Genomic DNA, 16,852 nt, shown 5'->3' on the forward strand with positions numbered 1-16,852 from the left:
TCATCTGGGGCTATTATAACAAAAACCCAAAAACTGGGTGGCTTAAACCACCAACATGCATTTCTCACAGTTCTGGAGGTGGGGAAGTACCATGATCTGAGTGTCAGCAGACCCGGTGTCTGGTGAGGGCCCTCTTCCTGGCCTGCAGATGTGCACCCTGGCTGGGTCCTCACACGGAGGGAGAAACATCATCTCTTTCATATCTCTTATTATAATGGCACTAATCCCATCCGGTCACTCTCATGGCCTCATTAACCTCCCAAATGCCCCACCTTCAAATACCGTCACACTGGGGATTAGGACTTCAACGTATGAATTTGTGGGGGGGACACAGATGTTCAGACCATAGCATATAGTTACATGCCATCTTCAGTACCACTGCACTTTTAGGAGGTGGGAGTCCCGTCCACATTCTCTGCAGTTCACAGACAGGAGGTCTGAGATCTAGAAAGGTCTTGAATTACTTAATGGGATCGTAGTCTTACAGCTTGTGAGTACAGGACAGAGTCTGAATCCAGGGCCTAAGATTGCAGGTACTGCTGTTTGGGGCCTACCTATGTTGTTTTATGTTGATAAACTTTTTGAGCATTAAAACAGCTATTTCATTGGCTAAATATAGCCTTTAGTTCTATTTTTTATGGATAAAAGAGTGCAATGAAACCTCATGTGCCAGTTATTCCACATCAACTTTCTTCTATTTTGGCTGCATGTATCTCCTCTCATATTTGTGAAAGAGTACTTTAAAGTAAATGGTACATTGTATGGATTTTCCTAGAAATGTAGTCGTCTCCCCTAATCCACGTTTTGCTTTCTGCAGTTTCACTTACCTTCAGTCAACCTGGGTCCAAAAATGCTAAACAGAAAATTCCAGAAATAAACAATTCATAAGTTTTACATTGGGCACCACACTGAGTAGTGTGATGAAGTCTCTTACCATCCAGCTCCATCCCACCCAGGATGCAAATCGTCCCCTTCTCCAGGGTATCCACAGTGTACACACTGTCCACCCATTAGTCACTTCGGTACAGTTATCAAATCAACGGTCACAGTACTGATACCAGCGGGTCAGGGGAAGTCCCCATACACCTGTGGGACCTCCACCCCTGCCGGTGTCCAGGCTCTTGACACCATCGTGAGAAGGAATTCAAGGATGAGTCAGAATACAGTGAAAATACAGAGATTTATCACAAGGTGAAAAGTACACACTCAAGAAAGGGGAGTGTGGCATACTCAAGAGAGAGTCATGCCATGGGATTTGGGGCTTTTATCTTTATGGGTTTCTTTAACCAAGTGGTGGAATATTCCTGGAAAAACGTGGAGACTTCTCAGAACTGTGGTGCCACCCATTTTTACAACAAATATGGGTGTTCCTGGAACTGTCATGGGGTTGGTGGTTGTGTGGTTTACTGTGTTAATGAGTTGATAATGAGGTCCTAGGGGAAACCTAAGTCAAATTCAGTGCCGTGTTGGATCCAGTTGGTCTTAGCCAGTTTGGTCCACATCCTGGTATTTCAGGGTCTTATCAGCTCATAGCATCTGCAGCTATTGCAAGTTCCCTTTTGCTCATGATGTGAAACTACTGCCTGGATTTTCTATTCTCTTGTGACCACACTGTATTACTCCTCACTGTATTATTATGTCTCAGTATCACAGGGCTTGTGTTCAAGTATAATTTTTATTTGACTTAATGATCCCAAAGTTCAAGAGTAGTGATGCTGGCAATTTGGATATGCCAAAGAGAAGCCATGAAGTGCTTCCTTTAAGAGAAAAGATGAAAGTTATCAGCTTAATAAGAAAAGAAAAAAAATCATATGCTGTGGTTGTTAATATCTGCAGTAAAAAAAATCTTCTATTCATGAAATTGTGAACAATGAAAAAGAAATTTGTGCTAGTATTGCTGTTGCACCTCAAACTGCAAAAGTTACAGCCATAGTGCATGATAAATTCTTAGTTGAGCTGAATAAGGCATTAAATGTGTAGGCGGAAGATATAAATAGAAACACCTTCCAACCAACAGCAGTAGATTCAGCACTATCCATGGTTTCCAGCATCCACTAAGGGTATTAGAACATATCCCCCATGGAGGCTACTGCAGGGGACTGCTGTGCTTCATTAGCTACCTCTAACAGACATGCCTCTGTTAATCCAATGTCATAATTACACAAAGTTAGTATGGGTTCCTTACTGTCATAGAACACTCAGCCCACGTGCCATTTCTGCAGTTGTCTTTTTTACAGTTGGCTTGTTTGAAGCAGTACCAGTCAAGATCTACACATCACATCCTGCTAATACTTCTCTCAAGTCTCTCTTCTTTTTTATTTTATTTTATTTTTTTGGAGATGGAGTCTTGCTCTGTCGCACAGGCTAGAGTGCAGTGGCACAATCTCGGCTCTCTGCAACCTCTGCCTCTTAGGTTCAAGCGATTCTCCGGCCTCAGCCTCCCAAGTAGCTGGGATTATAGGCGCCCACCACCACACCGGACTAATTTTTGTATTTTTAGTAGAGATGTGGTTTTACCATGTTGATCAGGCTGGTCTCGAACTCCTGACCTCAGGTGATCTGCCTGCCTCGGCCTCCCAAAGTGCTGGGATCACAGACGTGAGCCACCGCGCCTGGCCTCAAGTCTCTTTTAATCAATAAAAATTCCTTCTATTTATTTGGGCAGAAACTAGGCCATTTTGCCCATCAAATCTCACACATCCTAGGTTTGGCTGACTATATTCTCATGGTGTCATGTAAGGTGTTTCTCTATCCCCCACATTTTCTGTAAACAGTAGTTAATTCTAGAACTTTGCTTAGCTTCAAGTTGAACTCTTGGGATAAGAACATATCATAGGCAGCCCTGTATAATTCTTTGCCTTACAATGGAAAGAACATAATATCTGTTCCTGCTGCCTTGACGACATAAGACAGACTCTTCAGTGGGTAACAGCCTTGGCCTCTGGTGCTCCCAGATTCATCGGACGCTGTGAAGTGGCATATTCTAATTATATCATTCCTCCTGCATTTGTTAGTGGTTTGTTTATTGAAAAAACTTGCACATCAGTACTTATTTAGCCTGAAATTCAGTATCTACAGGAAAGACAGGGAAAATGCTTAATTCTTTCCCTTTACTTATCAAATTTCAGTGTGATTTGTTGGTGCCCAGTACCTTGCATTTCTCTTATTAGGAGTGAATTTGGGTGTCTTTTTTTCTTTTTCTTTTTTCTTTCTTTCTCTCTCTTTTTTTTTTTCTTGAGGCGGAGTCTCGCTCTGTAATGGCGCGATCTTAGCTCACTGCAACCTCCGCCTCCTGGGTTCAAGCAGTTCTTCTACCTCAGCCTCCCAAGTAACTGAGATTACAGGTGCACGCCGCCATGCCCAGCTATTTTTTTTTTAAATTTGTATTTTAGTAGAGATGGGGTTTCACCGTGTTGGCTATGCTGGTCTCGAACTCCTGAGCTCAGGCAATCCACTCACCTCAGCCTCCCAAAGTGCTAGGATTACAGGTGTGAGGGTGTAATCCTTTTTTTTTTTTTATTGGCTTATGGGCCATTTTTATTTCTTCCTTTGTTAACTGTTTATTCACAGTTTCTACCTTTTCATCCTATTGGATTTTTGGTCTTATTTTTCTTGTGCCTATAAATCATTCTTTATTAGCATAATTAGTCCTTTTCCTGTTACATATTAACTCTGTTTTCCCCAAATTGTTATTTGCCATTTTTACTTTTCTTATAGGGTACTTTTTTGCCATGCTTTTTTTAAATCATTTTTTTAATGTAGACAATTTTGTAAGTATAGTTTTTAATTACCTCTAGATTTTGAGTCATTGCTAGAAAAGTTTTTCCAAAGCCAAAGCTATAAAGGAATTTATTCATATTTCTCAAATCCTAGTATATGGCTGTTTTTTTTGTTTGTTTGTTTAATATTTAGATCCCTGATCCATTTGGAATTGTAACTGCCCAGTGGGTTCATCTTGCCTGCATCCCAGATAGAGGTGATTTATCAAGACAGAGGAACTGCATTAGAGAAAGAGTTTAATTTTAATCCACACAGAGCCAGCTGAACAAGAGACCAGAGTTTTATTACTCAGATCAGCCTCTCCCAAAATTTAGAGGCCAGAGTTTTTTAAAGATCGTTTAGGGGGTGGGGGCTAGGGAATGGGTGCTGCTGATTAGTAGGGAATGAAATCATAGGGTTGTGGAAAGTGGTCCTCCTAGGCTGAGTTTGCTTCTAGGTGTGGGCACCAGAGGAGTGGCTGGTCCCAGTGGAGTCATCCAGGCATCAGAAATGCAAAAGTCTGAAAAGACATCTCAAAGGGCCAATCTTAGGTTCCACTATAGTGATGTTATTTACGGGAGTAATTGAAGTTACAAATCTTGTGACCTCCAGACAATGCCTGGTTATCATTTAACTACACCTACATCTTAGTAGAATTCAGGCCCCTCTCATAATCCTAAACTTGTGGTCTTTCATTGGTTTCATAAAGGCAGTTTAGTTTTGGCAAGGGCTAAAACTATAAACTAAATTTTCCCCAAAGTTATTTTAGCCCATGCTCAGGTGAACACAGGCAGCTTGGAGGTTAAAGGCAAGGTGGAGTCAGTTAGGTCATATCTGTTTCCCTATCATAATTTTCTTGCTGTTATAATTTTTGCAAATGTGGTTTCAGAATTTATTCTCATATGTGATATAAGAATGGATCCAAATTGATTTTTTCTCATATGGCTTCCACTGATCATAAACACCTTCTTCCTCCTACTAATTTAAGTAACCACCTTCATCATAAACTAATCCCAAGAGAAGTTTCATCTTTCCTGTTTCTTTGATCAGTCTAGCACCAATACACAATAGGTTTAGTGTAGAGTTTTATAATAGTTAATAACCTATGAAAAGCTAGCCCCACTCACTGTACTTCTCCTGGCCATTCTTGCTTGATTGTTCTTACAAATAAAATTTATCATCAACTTTGGAAACATAAAAAAAGTTAATAATCTTCTTATTGAGATCACATGTAATTCATAATTAAACTTGGAGAGAATCAGCATCTTTCTGTTGTATGTCATACAGTCTTCCTATGCAAGAATATAGTGTGTCTTTACATTTTTTTAATCTATGTTTGGCTCAGTAATAACTTACGAACTTCCTCTCATAGGATTTGAATGTTTTTTTTTAAGTTTATGCCTGGGTATTTTATGATAATTTAGGAAAATATTTCTACTAGTTTATTAATTAATTCCTTTCTGTCTTCTGGATATGTAAACATTTCTTTTCTTTTCTTTTCTTTCTTTTTGGAAAATGGAGTCTCACTCTATTGCCCAGGCTGGAGTGCAGTGGTGCAATCTCAGCTCACTGCAACCTCTGCCTCCCGGGTTCAAGCGATTCTCCAGCCTCAACCTCCTGAGTAGCTGGAACTACAGGCACATACCACCATGCCCTGCTAATTTTTGTATTTTTAGTGGAGATGGTGTTTCACCATGTTGGCCAGGCTGGTCTTGAACTCCTGACCTCAAATGACCTGCCCACCTTGGCCTCCCAAAGCCCTGGGATTACAGGTGTGAGCCACCGCTCCTGGCAACATATGTTGCTTTCTAGTCTGTATGCCTCTAATTGTTTTATATATTTATTTATTTACTTTCCTAAGAGTATGTTAACTAATATGTACAACGTAATGACAAATAGTAAGGAAGGCAATGGATATGATCTTGCTTTCAATTTTAAAAGGAAAAGGAACTCTATTTTCCTATTAATTTAAGTTATTGGATCTTAGGAACATATGTACTCTCTCTCTGTCTCTACATATATACATATGTATGTATGTATATATGTATGTTGACTAATATATTTTAGCTTAATCAGTGTTCTTAACACAAACATACACTGCATTTTATCAAATATGTTTTGCTTTCTATGGAGATGAATGTATGATGGATTATACTCATGAATTTCTACTCTCATTCCTGCGTAAATCCTATTAGATCATAATATATTAATGTATTAAAAGAATGTGCTGATGGATTCCGTTAACTATCATTTTATGTGAGATTTTACATTCATATTTTTAAGCAAGAATGCTTTTCTTGTGCATTCATTATTAGGTTGTATATCATTGTAATACTCACTATATAAAAATATAATTAGATATTTTTCTTGCATTTCCTACTCTCTGGGCTGGCTGAAATGGCACTAACAGCATCTGAATGTTAAAGGTTTGGTAGAATTCCCTGCATACCCATTGGCCTGGTGCTTTCTCATACTTGCCCTCTTTTTGCAGCCCTTATATGTTTCTTCTATAGGACCCAAATTGATTTGCAAGGAAATTTGAAACTATGGAAAAGGGGAGAAATACACCTGTCATTGAGAATTAGAACTAGTAAAGTGCAATTTTTTACAGGGGAAAGTGCTATGTAATTGTTCAGTAGTGTGTTGACTAAGACTGAATGTGTTAGAAGGTAGTTAGAAATGATTACCTTTCTGACAGATTTGACCAGCCACTGAAATTATAAACGTCTGGTCCAAAAATCATTGATAGTTTTACTTAATCTATGAAGTATTAAATTTAATAAGCTGGCTGATCAGCTTTTAGTTTTCTTTTTTCAAATGCCTAACTTTGTATATTTTATTGTTATTTAAGAAAAAAGAAGTGGCTTTCATATTTTTATCATAGGTTGATAAGTCAGGTAATAGATGAAATGTATCAGGTTTCCAAAAGAATCTATGATTATGACTAGAACTGTGATTTCTCTGCGATGCTGTAGTGAATATTACACTCAAACTGATAATTTAGGAATTAACCTGTTATCTCATGATGTGTGTGGAAGAACTAATAGTTAAAAACAGTATCCCTTCACTTTCATGAAAACACAAGGCAACCATGAAGTTAACACAAAGTATATGTAAGGGTTAAACTCTGTCTTGTCTGTCTTAAAGTTTTCTTAATATTGGTTTCTAGGTTCAAAAATCAGGAAATGCCTTGTTTCATAGGCTTTACACAGAGGCCCTGAAGAGGGACTTCTCTATCCCAAGAGCCAGGGAGCAGGCCTGAACAGGTCCAGCCATCACGGCCATGCTCTCAGGGCTGACTGCAGCCACACCACCCACCACATGAGGCTAGACAGACAGACTGATGGAGCAGATTAGGAATTACCTGATATGAAGACTTCATTTTCCTAAACACAGGCATTTTCTTCTTCAAAAATTTGGTGACAAGTAGTATTTGTTAATATCACAAATATACCCAATTGGCAGTCAGTAGAAAGGCCCAGACCAAAATAATTTCAGAATGACTAACAAATGAAATATAAAAATATCTGAGCATGTTTCAGGGAAGTATTACTTAAACATAAATACAAAGATAAATATAGAAATTAATGATGAATTTAATATAAGAATGCTAAAATTCAGTATGTCAAACATCCAACAAAAAATACCAAGAGAGGAAACAAATGGGACAGGAGGTCTTTTCTAATGATTCAAAATTATCCACAAAAAAAGCTGCTGTGTCCCTCCAGCGCTTTGGAAGGGCCCCTGCAAGCAAGGGCTCTGTGTTCCCAGCTTCATTAGCTTAGTGGCATGTCAATCTCTGATCAAATGCATTCACGACCTTGATTTGGGGACCCTGAAGCCTTCTCAAGAGTAGGAAGTGTTTTATAAAAAGCCCTGCAAAGAACAAAAGTGTTTCTATTAAGTCTTTGAGAAAACTATGGAAGACAGGCTGTATTTTAAATGATTGATAATCTTAATGTTCTTTTGAAACATTACCTGTATTTCCATAAAGGTCAAGACAATAAGCAGTTTGGAAACAATCACCTCCCTACTCTTGAGAAAAGTGGATTTATAAAAAGGGTGGCTGGCTGGGTGCAGTGGTTCACGCCTGTAATCCCTGCACTTTGGGAGGCTGAGGCAGGCAGATCATGAGGTCAGGAGTTTGAGACCAGCCTGACCAACATGGTGAAACCCCATCTCTACTGAAAATACAAACATTAGCTGGGCATGGTGGCAGGCACCTGTAATCCCAGCTACTCAGGAGGCTGAGGCAGGAGAATCGCTTGAACCTGGAAGGTGGAGGTTGCAGTGAGCTGAGATCGCGCCAGTGCACTCCAACCTGGGCAACAGAGTTTGACTCCATCTCAAAAAAAATCTGTCTAAGTTGAGGAACTTGGATTTGGGGAACATGACAATCAGAAGAACAGATGGAGACCAGTGTTGTGCAGCGGGTGAAGGGATGGACACTAGAGTCATACATCCTAACCTTATACTCTGTCTCTTCCTTATGTACATTACTTAGTGTCTCAGTGCCTCAGCTTTCTTATCTGTAAAATGGAGACAGTAATGTCTATGTCATTAGAATTATTGTGAGACTTACCATATAGAAAGCCCTTGGAATAGTTCGTAGACTATAATTACAGTTATATGGACAGTGGTATGGTGATGATGACCGTGATGATGATGGCGATGATTGTGATGATGATGGCAATGATGATAGTAGTGGTGATGGTGACGATGATATTGTTGATGATGATGGTCATCATGATGGTGATAGTGGTGATGATGATGGTATGATGATAGTAACAGTGGTGGTGATGGTGATGACATTGGTGATAGTAATAATGGTGGTGGTGATGATGATGGTAATGATTGTGATGGTGATAGTGATGATGTTGGTGATAGTAATCATGTTGGTGGTGTTGGTGATGATGATGGTGATAGTAATAATGGTAGTGGTGATGGTGATGATGGTATTGATGATCGTGATGGTGACAATGATGGTGATAGTAATGGTGGTGGTGGTGATGGTGATGATGGTAATGATGATTATGATGGTGATGGTGATGATGGTATTGATGATTGTGATGGTGATGATGATGGAGGTGGTGATAATGTTAATAGTGATGTGGTGGTGGTGACTGTAGTGATGATGACACTGATGATGACAAAGGTAGGAAGAAGTAGGGGCGAGGAATTCGAGGAAATATTGTGGCTGATTATTGGATGACCACTACATTATAATGAACCAAGGTGAACCAAAGGAGACCCGGCTCAAAAGAACATAAAAGCAACAACAACCACAAAAAGCCAGCAAAGAACTCAATGGCTACTGCAGCAAACACATAATCTATAAAATTAGTCCAGGAAAGTCACTTAGCAAATAAGTGGCAAGAAGAGAAACAACAGAAATAGGGACAACAACAAACTCTGGAGTGGAGGAAGGTATCTGATATCAGAGTTGTTCCAATATGTTGTCTAAAAGCAACAAAGAAATAACAAAATCTTAAAAGACACAGAAAAGCATGCCACACACAAAGGAAAAAGCTATTAATAGAAACTATCATTGGAGAATTCTAGATATTGAATGTATCAGACAAACACTTTAAAAATGTGTGTAAAGAACTTAAGGAAATCATGCCTTAAAAAAATCAAAGGAAAGTATAACAACTAGATATCACCAAGTAGACAATATCAGTGAAAAGGTAGAAATTGTTAAAAAGAACCCAGTAGAAATTCTAGAGTTGAAAAGTACAATGACTGCAATAAAAAAAAAATCACTGGGTTGACATAATAACAGATCTTAGTATAAAGAAGAAAGAATCAGCAAACTTGAACATAGACCAATGGAGATTATCCAGTGAGTGGAACAAAATGAAAAATGAATGAAGAAAAATATACAGAAATGAATATACCTGTGGCACATCATGAAGAATGCCAACAAACACATAATGGGAATCTCAGAGGAGAAGAGAAGAGAAGAGAAGCAGGGGCAAAATTACTTGAAAAAATAGTGGCCAAAAATTTGACAAAACAATTCATTTTTACATCTAAGAATGTCAACAAATCCCAACGAACTTAATGAGATTGACATCTGTACACATTATAGTCAAACTAACAATGTTAAAGACAGAGAACATTTTGAAAACAGCAAGAGAAAAGCAATATTTACTTACAGGTGAGTCACAATATGATTAGCAGCAGATTTCTAATGAGAAACCATGGAAGCCATTAAGAATATTAGATCATGCCTTCAGAGTGTTGGAAGAAATGACTGTCAACAAGTAATTATATTCCTAGCAAAATTTTCCTCAAAAAACAAAGGAAAAATCAAAAGACAAGTCACATCCACAAAAAACTTGCACCTGTATGTTTGTAGCAGCTTTATTCATAATTGCCCAAATGTAGAAGCAACCAAGATGGCTTTCAGTAGGTGAATTAATAAATAAAATGCAATACATCTAGATAATGGAAATTATTCAGCACTAAAATTAAATGAGCTATTAAGCCATGAAGACAGGGAAAAAATTAAATGCATATTACTAATAAGCAAACCTGAAATAGCTACATACTATATGAGTCCAACCTTAAGACAGTCTAGAAAAGAAAAACCATGGAGACGGTAAAAGGATCAGTAGTTGCTGCAGGGAAGGGTTGGAGGGAGGAATGAATAGGTGGAGCACAGGGGATTTGTAGGGCAGGAAAGATACTCTGTACAATACTGCAGTGGTGGATACATGTCATTATTCATTTGTCCAAACCCATAGAACGTGCAACACCAAAAGGAAACCCTAAGGTAAACTATGGACTCTTAGTAATAACGACATGATTAATCAATTGTAACCAATGTACCATTCTGCAGCAGGATATTGACAATGGAGGAGGCTGTGCATGTGTGGGGCAGGGGGTATACAGGAAATCTCTGAACTTTCCACTCAGTTTTGCTGTGAACCTAGAAGTACACTCGAAAATAAATTCTATTAAAAAGAAAAGGAGGCCGGGCACAGTGGCTCACACCTGTAATCCCAGCACTTTGGAAGGCCAAGGCGGGCAGATCACAAGGTCAGGAGATCAAGACCATCCTGGCTAACATGGTGAAACCCCGTCTCTACCCAAAATACAAAAGATAAAAATTAGCTGGGCATGGTGGCAGGTGCCTGCAGTCCCAGCTACTCAAGAGGCTGAGGTAGGAGAATGGCGTGAACCCGGAGGCGGAGCTTGCAGTGAGCTGAGATCGCACCACTGCACTCCACAGCCTGGGTGACAGAGGGAGACTCCATGTCACAAAAAAAAAAAAAAGAAAGAAAGAAAGAAAAGGAATTCTGGAGATGGATGCGCCATTGCGAATGTACTTTATGCCGCCAAATTGTGCCCTCAAAAATGATTCAAATGATACACTTTACATTATGTGTATATTACCACAATAAAAAAATTCCAGTCGCTTCAAAAGAAAAGATGAACCACAGAAAGGGAGAAAATATTTTAAAACATATATCTGATAAAGGACTTGTACCCAAAATATACAAATAACTCTTAAAACTCAACAATATAAAAACAACCCAATTAAAAAATCAGCAAAAGATCTCAACAAACACCTCACCAAAGAAAACATACATATGGCCAACAAAAGCATGAGAATATGCTCAGTATTATCAGTCATTGGAGAAATACAAATCAAACAATGATGATATGCCACGTCACACCTGCTACCATTGTTATCACTAAAAAGACAGAAACTAACAAGTGTTGCAGAGGATATGGAGAAATAGAAACCCTTGTACATTGCTATAGAATTTTATGTTCCAGCCACTTTGGAAGACAATCTGGCAGTTCCTCAATATGTTAAATGTAGTTACCCAGACTCAACAATTCTACTCCTAGGTGTATAACCAAGAGAACTGAAAACATATATCAACACAAAATCCTGTATACAAATGCCCATAACAACATTCATAATCGTGAAAAAATGGACTCAACCAAAAGATCTATCAACTGATGAATGGATAAACAAAATATGGTATATCTGTACAATAAAATATTATTTGGCAATAAATGAGAATGGAGTACTGATGTGTGCTACGATAGGAGTGAATTTTGAACACATTATGCTAAGTGAAATAAGCTATTTACAGAAGGTCACATATCGTATGATCCCATTTATATAAAATGTCCAGAATAGACCAAACTATAGTGACAGAAAATATATAAGTGACTGCCTAGGACTAGGTGAGATGGGTGGTGGATGTGGGCAGGAAAGGGGGGAAAAGGGGAGTGACCACTACTTGGTCAGGTGGTTCATTTTGGTGATGAAAATATTCTAAAATTAGATTAGGGTGATGGTTCCACCATTCAGAGAATATGTGAAAAAAAAAAAACCCTGATTTGGACACATTAAATGTGTGAATTTTATGTATGTGCATTATGTCTCAAATAAAGGTGATTTAAAAACAAAGTTAAAAAGGAAGAATTGTAGCATAGAGCACCTTTTGTAATTATGGGGATAGGAAGCAATTGGGACATGGCCAATGGCCAAGGACAGTGTTTGATTCCTTCATAGAAATGCTTCAGACTGGCTCTGGGTCCCTTGAGCTTAGCATTTTCAAGTTAAGGGAGAGCATGTATCCCTGCTGTGTTGACAATAATTTCACCGGGCAACCCACAATCAGAAAGCAGGGCATGCCTGTGCCTGTACTTTATTTTAGTCTTTCAATGGTGGAGCCAAGCCAGCAATGTCAGGCAGAGAGGGAAAAAAATGAAGAAGGCAGATTGCCTCTAAGAATTTTGCAAACTGATTTAAATGTTTAATCAGCACATTTCAACCACTTTATTAATATGTTTGCATACATATGTGTGCACTAAGGCAGTGCTTTTAGTATTCAGCATAACTCATCAAGATGGTGCATACATTTCTTCCAGAGCCATGCCATCAGTGTCTGTATGAATCAATGAAGGCTGAGAATGCCAATGCTGTCACGTGTTGCCAATGACATAAGGCCTAGACCTGTTCTTGAGAGTAGGGCATGCCCTGTGAGGCAGACAGAGCTGCAGAGCCTGCAGATCAGGCAGTAAAAAGAGAGCAGGTGCACCAGGTCAAAGAGCTCCAGCAGAGAGGGGATGGTGTTGTTCCAAGCATGGTTCAGAAATGGGGAATCCAGGAGTACAGTTGCAGGTAGAAAAGCAGGCATCTGGCAAATAGCCAGCTCTGGCTCAGGGAGCCAGGGAGCCCTGGTGACAGTGCCCGCAGGAGCGGGACAGAGCACCTGCCTGATGTCATGATCTAGGCAGTCACCAACCTGGGTCCCAGGCAGCAGAAACACCAGGCTTACCCTTCCTGGAATAATTAACCACATGAGAAGGGGTCCCTGAAGCAGGTCAACATTCACCTATCAAAGCTGAAGACTGATAGGAGAAAGGGTCTATCAAATCCTGGAGTGATTACCTTAGTGAGCTCCTCTTTCCTGAGATCTGGATGGACTACATTTTGGGGAAGGATGGAAGGTGTGTGGGCATGGGCCATGTAGTTAGATCTGCATGGCGAGGACTCAGAGTCTGGGAGCCATTGACAAGCACCTCCACTCCTCGAAGGCCGACGGCAGCTGTGGCTCTCCAAGGTTGAAGAAATGAAGACACCACTCCCTGTGTGTTGTCAGTGGCCAGGCCTATGCAGTGGAGTGCCTGGCCATTCGTGAAGATCTACAGCTGGATTAGGTGGCATTTAGCCATTCATTTTTCAAGTTTCTGTGTCTTGGAGGAAAATTGAGAGTGCACATATGGCCTAAAAGTTTAACTCCTAACTCCTGTAATTCATTGATCAGAATTATAATTTTCACTTTAATGATTTATAAATGTGTACCTTCAAGTGCTAATGTTTGCTCTGTGTTTTTAGATGGCTATCCCAAAGAAGAAATGATTTATAGATGGAGAAAAAATTCAGTGGAGGCAGCTGACCAGAAATCATGGCGGCTTTATCAGTTTGACTTCATGGGCCTCAGAAACACCACAGAAATCGTGACAACGTCTGCAGGTAGGAATTTACTGAAAGAGGCACAGCTCTCAAAAGCCAGAGAGGCCTAAGGCCATATGTAGTCATATCCTTAATGTACAAGCCTTTTGGGCAACCATGATACATAAGTGATATTTGAGACAAAACAAGTGATTCAAAGTGAAACTATGTTTTCATGTTTTAATTGGTATGGGAGAGGGATGTTAGAAATAATTCATATTTTTGAATCCAGGCTGTGTTTGCATAATGTCTATAAACCTAGCTATAAACTTAACCTAACTCATTACTGACCATATTTACATAAACCAATTTTGCTGATGGGGAGAGTTCTGCAAATTTCCACGTACATAAGAAGAATCAAATATTATTGAGAATCCACACATAAAAGAAGCTGGTGTGATATGTCCTTTGAGTTTCAATTGCTTTTATTTACTCTAAGTTTTATCTTTAACTTTGAGTTTCTTTTTCAATGATTGAAAGTAATTACCTACCAATTTGATTTTATGAAGTGATCATTATATGCATATTCAAAATCCTGTAATTAAATAAAAAGAGTTGTTCTGCCTATGAATATATGTGAATGTGTTTTGTTTTGCTTTTTGTCTTATGTCTTATGTTGTTTTTTGCTTTGGGTATTTAATTATTCCTAGGGTCCACTATTTCACAACTGATTTTCTTTTGGTAGGGTGTGGGGTGCAGATGGGGGTAGAGTCAGCTTTTCTACTGATATTATTTGTTAGTATGAAGAATTTGTTGGGTCTTCAAATTATCTAATAATTTATTTTATGGGTGACTAGATTAAGATGCCAGTTTTGAGAATTAATTGTAAATATCTTTAAAGCCCAGTCTTAATTCTTGGTGCAACTGTAAAATAGAGAGCTATTGACACATCAAGAAAAGTTCTGAAAAAGTTACCTGATTAAGGGAGAAAAACAAAAGATTCTCTATGAGTGTCATGGTAGAAAATCTGAGAAATGGGATCTGTGTTTAAATATTAAACAATGACGATGTTAAATAATGGAACACCACAATTTATTTAAATGAACTGTGGAGGCAGCGCAAAGGGAAACGTTTTGGGATGCTTGCTCCCAATTAAGAGGCACCTACCTTAGTAATGTAATTCCCTGTCTTAGAGGCTGCAATGTACCAGCAGACCTTTGGGGTCTAAGGCCGCCTGAAGGGAGTCACCAAGCAGCAGGGAGGACTGCTCTAGCATTTAAATCCCAAAGGCCTTTCCTGGTGTTCTCAAAACAAAAGGAAATGCAAAGTTAAGCTGAACCCAACTAACTCAGGGGATTTTGAAACTGATTGCAAGCAAATACTAGCTCAGAAAAGTGGCAAATAGAAGGAGACAACAGATTTGAGGCAACAGTCTGAACAATTCTTGTGCTAGGTGTTACTGTGGCTCTTAACGAAATTATAATCAATCTCTAAAGTCATATTTTTAATAAGTTTTACAACCACATTCAATCTTTTGTATAATTACACTTGTAAGGAAAATGTCCTTTGGATAATAAAAAAATTCCCATTTCATACGCTCGGGACGGACGCATGGTGGCTGTAGCCCACAAGCATGAGAAGTCACGCCCTGCCTGCAGCTGGGGTGTGTTGTTGCGTGTGTGCTTTTCAGGCCATATCCAGCATCAATTCAAGTGTCAACAGTTCACTGTTTAATGAATATTCATGAAACACCATTGCTTGCTAAATGATTGACATTTTCACAATGTGGAGGATCACTCATGGGACTGTGTTGGCATTTTAAAGGATCCCTCTCAGATAAATGCCCTTTTATAGGCAAATGTTATTCCTTGTTTCTCAATCTCCTAACTCAACATTATGACTATGGCAGTAACACACTTACTTACATAATCCCTTTTTTCCAAGAATAAAGCATTTGCAACACTGTCTACTTGGTTCTCACAAGTCGTTGTAAAGTTTGAAAAGGATGGATATGATTGTGCCAAGTTTTCAAGCTTATGTAAATAATTCTACTAGGGAACTTATCTGTGAAATGGAAACACTTTGGGAAACCTCAGAATCAGGAGAAAGAGATGTGAAGCCTGCAGGTGCATTGCCGAGTCCAGGCCCTGTGAGGTGGTCTCTGTCCATTATCGCCTCCCACCATCTTCTCACTGTGGCCACTCTGGCCCCGCCATGCTTTGGGCACAGCCCTAAACAGCTGCATTTATTTGACTGGACCCATTTTTCTCTATTGGGATAACATAAATATCAAAAATATTATTTATGACATTCTGAGACTTGGATGTAATATATTAAATATGTTTATTTAAAATGCACAAAGACTGTTCAAAAACATTAGTCACTGAATTAGTTTCCTGGAGCTACTTTAACAGTTCTACCAACTGTGTGGCTCAAACAACAGAAACAACGTGTTGTCTCTCAGTTCTGGAGGCTGGAAGTCTAAAATCAAGATGGCAGGCTTGGCATCTTCCGAGTGCCGTGAAGGAAGGATCTGCTCCAGGCCTCTCTCGTCGGCTTGCAGGTAGTATTCTTTCCACGTCCTTCTAACCTGCAGCAAATTCAAGGAAGTGAATTCTGTTCTATTGTCTTCTCCCTGGAGGTGTTGATCCCTGTATCTGCATTTCCTCTTTCTATAGAAACACCAGTCATATTGGATTAGCCTGCCTTCATGACCTCAACTTAACCATTTTCAAAGTCTCTATTTCCAGATAAGGTCATGTTCACAGGTACTGAGGGTTAGGACTCTAACATCTTCAGGTGAATACAATTTAACCCGTGGCAGTAACCCAGAAAGTTTAGCACTTTGTGAGGAGTGGCATTTCAGTTGCACTGGGAAATGAGGCGTTCCCTTGTCCCAGACACATCCTTTTTACTTGGACTTCCTTGCAGGTGTCAGCGTTCCCCCTCTGGGTGAATCTGATGATGATGAAGTTTGGAAGGCATTGGGCTAGGCTAACTTAATGAGTACAGCTGGTGGATGGTATAGAAATCACATTCAAATGGGATCACAGCTTAGTGTACTAAGACTTCTGACTGGCACAGCAGTGTGCTTTGTCATGTTACTGATGGTCTTGAACAGTCTCTCTGCCGTCTTTATGCCTTCCTCAGCTATTCTCCAAGGACAAT

General features: G+C 39.3%; 1 protein-coding gene across 2 annotated transcripts in view, besides 1 other annotated feature; it reads left to right on the forward strand.

The window, feature by feature from the left end:
* Window positions 1–16,852, forward strand: part of GABRG3 (gamma-aminobutyric acid type A receptor subunit gamma3) — a 570,804-nt gene that overhangs the window by 495,842 nt on the left and 58,110 nt on the right. Inside the window, exon 6 of one of the 2 annotated variants that reach the window (NM_033223.5) lies at window positions 13,628–13,765. In NM_033223.5, coding sequence (NP_150092.2) covers window positions 13,628–13,765 — 138 coding nt within the window. Of the gene's footprint in view, window positions 1–13,627; window positions 14,316–16,852 lie in introns of those variants that run through there. The other variant, NM_001270873.2, reaches the window with a different exon arrangement.
* Window positions 1,221–1,515: an enhancer, noted in NCBI's record as "tiled region #4259; K562 Activating DNase matched - State 5:Enh". NCBI's record gives its function as "activates a minimal TATA promoter and a strong SV40 promoter by Sharpr-MPRA in K562 cells {active_cell/tissue: K562}" and the evidence as "EXISTENCE:reporter gene assay evidence [ECO:0000049][PMID:27701403]".

The sequence above is a fragment of the Homo sapiens genome, chromosome 15 (genome assembly GCF_000001405.40).
Source record: "Homo sapiens chromosome 15, GRCh38.p14 Primary Assembly".
Taxonomy (NCBI): domain Eukaryota; kingdom Metazoa; phylum Chordata; class Mammalia; order Primates; family Hominidae; genus Homo; species Homo sapiens.